This window comes from Homo sapiens, chromosome 12, assembly GCF_000001405.40.
Source record: "Homo sapiens chromosome 12, GRCh38.p14 Primary Assembly".
Lineage (NCBI taxonomy): Eukaryota > Metazoa > Chordata > Mammalia > Primates > Hominidae > Homo > Homo sapiens.
The window spans coordinates 48489289-48498830 of NC_000012.12; the positions used below are offsets into that span (position 1 = coordinate 48489289).

The 9542-nt window shown below is 43.9% G+C and overlaps 1 protein-coding gene across 4 annotated transcripts in view; it reads left to right on the plus strand.

Annotated features, from left to right (window-relative positions):
- C12orf54 (chromosome 12 open reading frame 54) overlaps positions 1–7236 on the plus strand; it is an 83371-nt gene extending 76135 nt beyond the window's left edge. For all 4 annotated transcript variants that reach the window (XM_017018796.2, XM_011537896.3, NM_152319.4 and 1 more), the window contains 4 exons: positions 1524–1548; positions 3659–3707; positions 5510–5691; positions 6893–7236. In XM_017018796.2, coding sequence (XP_016874285.1) covers positions 1524–1548; positions 3659–3707; positions 5510–5651 — 216 coding nt within the window. In that variant the 3' untranslated portion in view covers positions 5652–5691; positions 6893–7236. The remainder of the gene's footprint in view (positions 1–1523; positions 1549–3658; positions 3708–5509; positions 5692–6892) is intronic.
- The last annotated feature ends 2306 nt before the right edge of the window (positions 7237–9542 follow it).

The following is a 9542-nucleotide window of genomic DNA, read 5'->3' on the forward strand; positions in this document are numbered from 1 at the left end:
TATTAGGTGAGTATGTCTGTTAACTGCAGGGAAGTATGAATTAGAGACCAGAGCTAACCATCTTGGGTAAATAGAAATAAAACCTCTTCCTCTGCTCTCCTCGGCTCTTCTTCTATAGATTTCAGTGTCTCTCTCAATCTCTCTCTCTCTCTCTTTGAGACAGGGTCTCACTCTGTGCCCAGGCTGGAGTGCAGTGATGTGATCTTGGCTCACTGCAACCTCTGGCTCCCGGGTTCAAGTGAATCTCCTCCCTTAGCCTCTCAAGTAGCTGGGACTACCACACCCAGCTAACTTTTTTTGTATTTTTTTGTAGAGACAGGGTTTCGCCATGTTGCCCACGTTGGTCTCAAATTCCTGGACTCAAGCCATCTGCCAGCCTTGGCCTCCCAAAGTGCTGGGATTACAGGCATGAGGCATTGCGCCCAGCCTAAGAAGGATTTTTTTTTTTTTTTTGAGACAGTCTTGTTCTGTCACCCAGGCTAGAGTGTAGTAGCACGATCTTGGCTCACCACAACCTCCGCCTCCCGAGTTCCAGTGATTCTCCTGCCTCAGTCTCCTGGGTAACTGGGATTACAGGTATGTGCCACCACGCCCGGCTAATTTCTGCATTTTTAGTAGAAATGGGGTTTCACCATGTTGATCAGGCTGGTCTTGAACTCCTGACCTCAGGTGATCCACCCACCTCAGCCTCCCAAAGTGCTGGGATTACAGACATGAGCCACCCCGCTCAGCCAAGAAGGGATTTTTTAAAGATCCTTTACACGTACTTAAAGCTTCTCTGCAGAGAACCACTGGAGACTCAATGAGGAGTGTAAAAGGGCCCAGAAAAGACATAGCAGAGGGCCAGAGGGCCACAAAGAATAAAAGATGTGAGGCCTTGGTATGAATAGTTATGACTGTAAGTGATGAATTGTGTGTCTCCCACCCCTAAAGAGGCACAGCTTGCTCCTATTTATTCATTCACTATTCAAAAGACATTTATTGAGCATATGCTGTATGCAGGGCATTATCTTAAGTGGTTTGGTGTGAGAGATACAAAAACAATACAAACTGTGCTTTTGGAAATCTTGGGATTTTGGCCAGGCAGGGTGGCCAAAGTGGCTGGGTGGTAATCCCAGCACTTTGGGAGGCTGAGGTTGCCAGGTCACCTGAGGTCAGGAGTTCAACCATCCTGACCAACATGGTGAATCCCCATCTCTACTAAAAATGCAAAAATTAGTCAGACATGGTGGTACACACCTGTGATCCCAGTTCCTGGGGAGGCTGAGGCAGGAGAATTGCTTGAACTTGGGAGGTGGAAGTTGCAGTGAGCCAATATCACACCACTGCTCTCTAGCCTGAATGTCAGAGCAAGACTCCATCTCAAAAAAAGAAAGAAAGAAATCTTGGGAGTTCCATGTCCAAGAAGCCCATATTTTCCCAAACAGACATCCCTGCATTTGACCAAGTCTATAGCTAATACAGTGCAGGTCTGCAGGAGACCAGCCCCCATCATCTCTGACTGTATTCTCATTATTTTTCAGCTGCAGGAAGATGCTCGGATTCGAGGTAAAACAGCACCATTCCAAGGTTTGGAAAAGGAAACAAGGGAGGGGATTTGGAATTCAAGTCTCATTGTATCCATTTGCCATACAAAAGAAAATGGAGATAAGAAGTGAGATATGGAGTTCATCCCAAAGTCTCACCCTAGGATCTTCCATTTAGCTTACAGCCGGAGTCCATGTTCTCTTTTCTTCCCCTGCTTCAACCAAGCTGGGAATTGGCTTTCCTTAAAGCATTCATAAGCACTGCAAGTCTCTCCTCTGTCCAGCTCAATTGCCTCGTGTCTGAGTCTGTTCAGGCTGCTAGAACGGAATACCATACTGGGTAATTTATAATCAACAGAAATTTATTTCCCACAGTTCTGGAGGCTGGGATATCCTAGATCAAGGTGCCAACAGATTTGGTGTCTGGTGAGGCCCTGCTTCCCAGTTCATAGACAACCAACTTTTTCACTGTGTCCTCACATGGAGGAAGGAGTAAAGGAATTCTCTAGGTTCTCTTTCATACAGACACTAATCTGATTCATGAGAGCTCTGCCCTCATAAGCGAATTACCTCCCAAAGGCCCCACAACTTAATATCATTGCTTTGGGGATTAGGTTTCAATATATCAATTTGGAGGTGACATAGGCATTCAGTCTACAGCACGTGGACAGGGATGGAAGACTCTTTTTCTCCCTTGGAATGGTTGTTGAGGGCCTGAGAACACTCTCATGCCTCGGCTAGATATGATTCTTGTCTGTAAAGACAGCAAGTACAGAAAAGGGGAACAGCTTCCCAAGGCTGGCACAGGGATAGAATGGCAGGGAGGCTAGAATGGAATGATTATTCTGGGTGGTCAAGTTACAGTTTTCAAATGCCCAGATGCTAATTCTAGCATTTCGAGAAAATACTCAAAATACCCAGGAGCCTAGAATTATAGCAGAAAAGCCATATCTGGAACTTTTTTCTTCACTCATCCAAGAAAGAACTTACAAATTGGGGCTTTTCAAACTTTTGCTTATATACAAATCACCTGGGTCCCTTGTTAAAAAACAGATTCTTATTCAGTAAGTCTAGGGTAGGCTTGAATTCTGAGATCTGAGGTTCTATACCTCTAAGAGACTCTCGTATGGTGCCAAAGCTCTTGGCTCTTGAATCCCACTGATTATCAAGGATATATATGACTGAGCCCAAAGAGAGAGCTTCCAAAGTCAGAATTAAATAAGATTGAATTCAAGGATTTTTATACCCCATGGAAGGGGTGAGGAGCCTTCAGCTGTGGATACAAGAGACAGGGAGAGGAGGAAATCTGGAGATTCTGACTACTCTTGGGGTCTTTCTGGAACCACTCTATGCTTTTTCAGCCCCGCAGCAAAACGGAGTTCGTTAAGGGTACAAATCTTCTTGGGGATCTTTAAATACAGACATTCCCAGAGAAGACTCCCTCTGATCTTTCTCCAAACCTGGCCCATCACCTCCACTCCAGAACTAGGAACTATGGCCTCCACTGTGAGATCCAGAGGCTTGTGAGATACTTTCCTTGGATGCTGATCCCTAAGGTTCAAAAAGTCAAAAAGGGCCAAGCTTACCTCTGCTTAGAGAATGCTCTCCTTCATCCTCAGAAGCCTGATTTCCAAATAGGTCCCTGCAGGGCCCTGGGAACACCCACCTGATTACCTGGGCTGTAAAAAGGTGGATTTAGGATCTAACAGCTGCTGCTGCTTTTCCACTTCCTAAAAGATGGAGGGAGGGAGGGTGAAATCCAGGGTGAGATGAGGAGAATTCAAGTCTTATTGTACCCATTTCCCACACAAAATAATGGAGATAAGAAGTGAACTACCAGGGACTTGTTCCAGTGGCAGCGCCCTGGGATGGAAACATTTCTCTAACTCAGTTCCCAGCCCTGGATGAACAGACCTTCAGTGGCCATGATCCGCTCTGCTTCACAGGGGGCCAGATTTCTGGTGCCACATTCTGCAACTGCCTCTCTGATGGGCCTGTTAGGTGGTCAGTGTCCCTTCAAGTCTGGACCCTCCCACTTTGACTATACTTCAAATCAAGGATGTGAGCTGGGCAGCTGGGGAGACATGTCCAGGCCCCTGTAACAGAATGACTCTTCTCTGTGTCCACTTTAGGGATGAGCAACTGCTCCATGACACCCATGACATCAGCACCCAGGACTGGGTAAGTGTCCCTATTCTGACAATGTTCAAGGGAGATGGCACCCACCTGGATATGGGTGTGCTGGCCATGAATATAGCTAGCTCTGAGCCTTGAGCCTTCAGAAGCCTGTGCTTCCAAAGGGGCAAGAAGTGCCTCCCCACCCAACTGTGTCTACTAATGGTGAACTACAGAGCCTGGGCTTCCTCCTCCATCCTCAGCCCCATTAGAAATCCCTGAAATCTCAGAATCAGCCCTGAACCTCACCATAAGAGATTGTAAGAAAGTTTCTTAATTCAATTGAGGGAATAAGGGAACATAGAAAGAATGACAGCTAGGAAAGGAAGGCCACAAAGAAGGAATAAAGAATCAAGGACGTAGGCTGGGTGTGGGGTGGTTCACGCGTATAATCCCAGTACTTCTGGAGGCCAAGGTGGTTGGATCGCTTGAGCCCAGGAGTTCGACACAGTGAGACCTGTCTCCACAAAATATACAAAAATTAGCCAGGTGTGGTGGTGCATGCCTGTAGTCCCAGCTACTCGGGAGGCTGAGGTGAAAGGACAACCTGAGCCTGGGGAGGTGGAGACTGCAGTGAGCCATGATCATGCCACTTCCCTCCATCCTGGGCTGGAGACAGAGCAAAACACTGTCTCATTAAAAAAAAAAAAAAAAAAAGGGATCCGGGACTTAGAAGAAAGTTATAAAGAAAATTAATGAAAGTTAATTTTCAAAAAGAAAATTAACAAAAGTTAAAATGCCCTAATATTGAGAAATGTCACTTTCTCTTCCATAACAAGATGAGGAGAAAAAAGATCAGGCTACTGCAACACAGATTTAAATTAGACATAGGGAGGAAAGACTTTTCAATAGTGCAACTGAGAAATAGGACTAGGTAGTCAAGAAAGACAGCAGCGCCATGTACTTCAGAGGGCTTTAAAGATAAATAATGTTTAAAAAAAAAATTAGGCCAGGTGCGGTGGCTCATGCCTGTAATCCCAGTACTTTGGGAGGCCGAGGCAGGTGGATCACCTGAGGTCAGGAGTTCAAGACCAGCCTGACCAACACAGTGAAACCCCGTCTCTACTAAAAATACAAAAATTAGCTGGGCGTGGTGGCAGGTGCCTGTAACCCCAGCTACTCGGGAGGCTGAGGCAGGAGAATCACTTGAACCCAGGAGGCAGAGGTTGCAGTGAGCTGAGATTGTGCCATTGCACTCCAGTCTAGGCAACAAGAGTGAAACTCTGTCTCAAAAAAAAAATTAATTTGACATGCTATGGTTTTTCCCGAACCAGGAAATGGAAAAGGTGAACTCCCTAGATCCCTGTTTGAACAGAATTTGTCCCTATCTCAGAAAATTGACTCTTATAAAATAAAGCCATTTGTTTTAAAGAGATGGATTCTTATGCTTTAACTTGCTCAGTGCTGAAACCATGGAAGGAATAAATGAAAAGTGATTTCATATTAACAAAATTCTAAATGTAAACCTTTGCATATGAGGAGCACTTTTGATTAGTCAAAATCCTTTCAGATGTATGATATTATTTAATTTTAATTTTATTATTCCTCTGAGTCAAGCAAGAGGAATTTTCCTGATGAAAACATAGGCTGTAATAGGTTATGATGCTTCATCTCCTAAAGCCCACCCAACAAGAGCTTTTTCCTGTGAGCCATGCATCCATCAGGAAATTGCAACTCCCAGAGCCTGAGATGCCCATTCTTGGGGGAGTGTAATAATAGAATCTCTAAGGGCAGTGGAGGCCAGGAAGGGAACTGAAAGGGTAAGATCTCTTTCCCTCATGTCTACAACTTTCTCTATTTTGGCACAGAAGCATAAGGCCTCCAGATTCCTTGATGACCCCAAAGTTGAGAAGATTGCAGTTCAGCTCTGGAGAGCAGCCATCAGGAGGCCGTATCCACAACCTGAAGACACAGCTCTTCAGTCAATCAGCTTACTACCCTGGACCCTAACTCTACAATCAAGGAAGAAGGACATCTCTGCTTCCGCCAGGTGCTTTACCCAAGCAGCCTTTCCCCTGAGCTCCACCCTGCCCATCTGTGGTAGTCAGGAACCCAGGCCTCTTAGGCCCTCATCCCAACATGGCAGGGCAGCACCCCATGAAGCAGGTGCAGTCATACAAGGGGCAATAGGGTGAGAGGGTGGACAAGTGAAGGCAGGGCTAGGCCAGGTTCTTTTGGTCTCTGTGGTCAAGACAAAGGGCCAGAGTGCATCAAGTATGGACAGTTTTATACAAGGATCAAAACAAAGATCCAAACAGAGTGCATCAGGTGTGGATAGTGTTCAGGAATCAGGGACAGACAATTGTTGGATAAAGAGATGGAAAGGTGGAAAGTTTTAAAATACATTAATAAATGTGAGTCCTATAATTCCCTCTGGAAAGTGCTCTAGAAACTTGCACTACTTTGGGGGCTTAATTCAGTGTCAAGAGTCAGACACAGTCTATCCTTTATAGACTCCCTTGTCTGGGTTTTCTTTCCTAAAGTACTTGAGTATGCTTCCCCAAAGGCACTGTTTAAGTGACAGGCCATTTCCTCAACCCTTTTCACTCTCCTGCTCCATAGGCTCATCTGACACCTAACCCACCTGGAGAAGAAGACTGTCTCAGGTGCTCACCCTGTGGCAGAGACTATGCTAGCCACACCCTCTATATGGCCTTCTCTAGGGCTCATTAGGAATTCCTTTTAAGAAACAATCTGAGTTATAGGTGATGGAGAAAATTGGTTTCATCCACCTGTGTCTAAGTACAGTGACTCTATGTATTTTCTTGAATAGTCCCCTTTCAAATATTTTATCCTGTTTCCCCCACAAATCATCAAAATACACAAAGTATTTCCATATTTTATCATTAAGATTATATTTTGCTGAATGTAATACATACACTCACAAAACCTCTATTAAAACCCAGTTTGGGTTCAGATTGTAAGGCAGGAAGCTTCCTTCCTCTAGTACGACATAGACAGCAAGTGTAGGACAGCAAAATTCCTGATGTGGAAACTACACAGAGAATATTGTCTACAACTAATGGATCTCCTCCTTAGTTCCTGTTGGATATCTTGGGATGGGGTCATGAGGGTAGAAGCGTCACCACGAGGACTGCTTTTACTCTCAGGGTCACCTGCCTAGTAAATTGTCCAGCAGGGAGGAGAATAAATTTCTTTTATTCCCATCCATATGACTATGTCATCTACAGCACAGCTTCAGTTGGGGAAGATATTAGCAGACATCATCACTGAACCCAGAAGAGAGGGTGGTGCCCATGAGTGGAGATGCCAGGGTCTATGGCTGAAACTGGGAACTTGGAAATCAAGTGAGACCCAAGCAAGGAAACCAACTGCCAAAGCAAGGAAACCAGCTTGGTTTGGCAAACAGCTGATGAAATAAATGTGACGTAGAAGACTTGCCTTCCTGGTTCTTCCTGGGCTGTGGAATGGGTAGTGATAGAATTTCCAAGTATGATAGTGCATTTGGTTCAAAGAACAGCACTGTAGCATGGGAGAACCTGCACTATAATGTCATAAACTCAATCTGACTTTGTCTGAGTTTTTCTTCTTTGTGGGCCTCAGTTTCCTCTCCCATAAAGTAAGTAGCTGTTACTAGAAAATGCTGAAGGTGCCTTTCATTTCCAGTATCCTGTGATCTGGATGGTCTCACAGTCTACCACTTAAAGATAGTTACTCCCAGCCTGTGAAAAGACCACCTAGTACAAAAGTATTTCCTACAAGAAAGGACTATTTAGGGTATTTGTCAAAGATGGTAATCTTTGCATATATAAATGTGCATATTACATAACTGGTAAAGTAGAATTTTTATTTCTTTCCTTTTAAACAAAATCTGAACAAATGAACATAATATATTAAATATTCTATCATGTAAGATTTAACCCCTGAAGTAAGAATTTTTCACAACACCAGCAAAATAATAATCAGAACACATTATGGCAATAAGGTAACTTCATAAAAATCTTCTCCTCATAGATGTTGACTTGGCATTTGTTAACATAAAATTTTATTTTTTTAATTAACACTTTAAAAATTAAATTACCTGATCAGGAGACACTGTAATTATTGGATTATATTGAAAACAAAACCAGACAAGGGTGCCCTCTATTTTCATGCTAGCTCAACAGTATTAAAAATGTTGTCAGTGTTTTCCATTTCTTTATTTTATTTTATATATTTATTTATTTATTTTTGAGACGGAGTTTTGCTCTTGTCGTCCAGGCTGGAGTGCAATGACACAATCTCAGCTCACTGCAACATCCGCCTCCTGGGTTCAAGTGATTCTCCTGCCTCAGCCTCCCGAGTAGCTGGGGTTACAGGCACCTGCCACCACGCCCAGCTAATTTTTGTATTTTTAGTAGAGACGGGGTTTCACTGTGTTGGCCAGGCTGGTCTCGAACTCCTGACCTCAGGCGATCCACCCATCTTGGCCTCCCAAAGTGCTGGGATTACAGGCGTGAGCCATTGCACCCAGCCCAGTGTTTTCCATTTCTAAAAACACTTAAATATAAAATCCCAGCAAGATATTTTATACCAATAGGTAGCAAAATTCATCCAGAAGCATAAGACAAAATGTCCAAAAACAGGCTGGGCTCACACCTGTAATCCCAGCACTTTGGGAGGCTGAGGCAGGCGGATCACCTGAGGTCGGGAGTTTGAGACCAGCCTGACCAACATGGAGAAACCCCATCTCTACTAAAAATATAAAATTAGCCAGGCATGGTGGCACATGCCTGTAATCTCAGCTACTCGGGAAGGCTGAGGCAGGAGAATCGCTTGAACCTGGGAGGCAGATGTTGCGGTGAGCCGAAATCACGCCATTGTACTCCAGCCTGGGCAAGAAGAGCGAAACTCCATCTCAAAAAAAAAGAAAAAGAAAGAAAGAAATGTCCAAAAACAAATCAAGGTATTAATGGAGTTACCTTCAAATTTTTACTTCTCAAAGTTACAGCCACTGAAGTTATATTGTATCATATTAAAAGGCAGAAATAATTAGTGGAATAGAAATGCAATTTGTGATCCAGAAAAGTTTCAGCCTGTGATAGTCAAAAATTCCTAATCAAGAAGGATTAGAAGGGCTCATTAATAAATGATATTGAGGCCAGGTGCAGTGGATCCCAGCACTTTGGGAGGCCAAGGCAGGCGGATCACCTGAGGTCAGGAGTTCGAGACCAGCCTGGCCAACATACTGAAACCCCATCTCTGCTAAAAATACAAAAATTAGTCAGGTGTGGTGGCGGGTGCCTATAGTCCCAGCTACTCTGGAAGCTGAGGCAGGAGAATCACTTGAACCCAGGAGGTAGATGTTGCAGTGAGCTGAGATGGTGCCATTGCACTCCAGCCTGGGCAACAGAGCAAGACTCTGTCTCAAATAAATAAATAAATAATATTGAGGAAAGAACTTCATTCATTTACACAGAAAATATTGTCTATCGTGAGTCAGATACTGAGCTTAAAGAACATGGAGTAAAGAAATTGCTACTGGTAAAATATCTCCTGTATGAATGGCGTTAAGTGAGGAAGCACTAATGTCACTGAGGATAATCAAGGATGATCCAGGACTTGAACTGGAGCAACTGGATGAAAGGAAGCAACACATTACTAGAAATTGAGACGACTGAGAGGAAGAGACTTTGGAGGTGAAAACAAAAATTTACTTTTGGAAATATGTTTGAGAGTCTATGAGACATCAAAGCAGAGACTTCAAACACATTGTTAGACAGATGAATCTGCACTGCAAAGGAAAGATTTAGGAGCTTTTTCAACCACCTAGTCATTACACTCATTTGCTTTTGTTACCATGCCTTCATTCCTGGGCTAAGAGGTGGGGAGGATATTCAC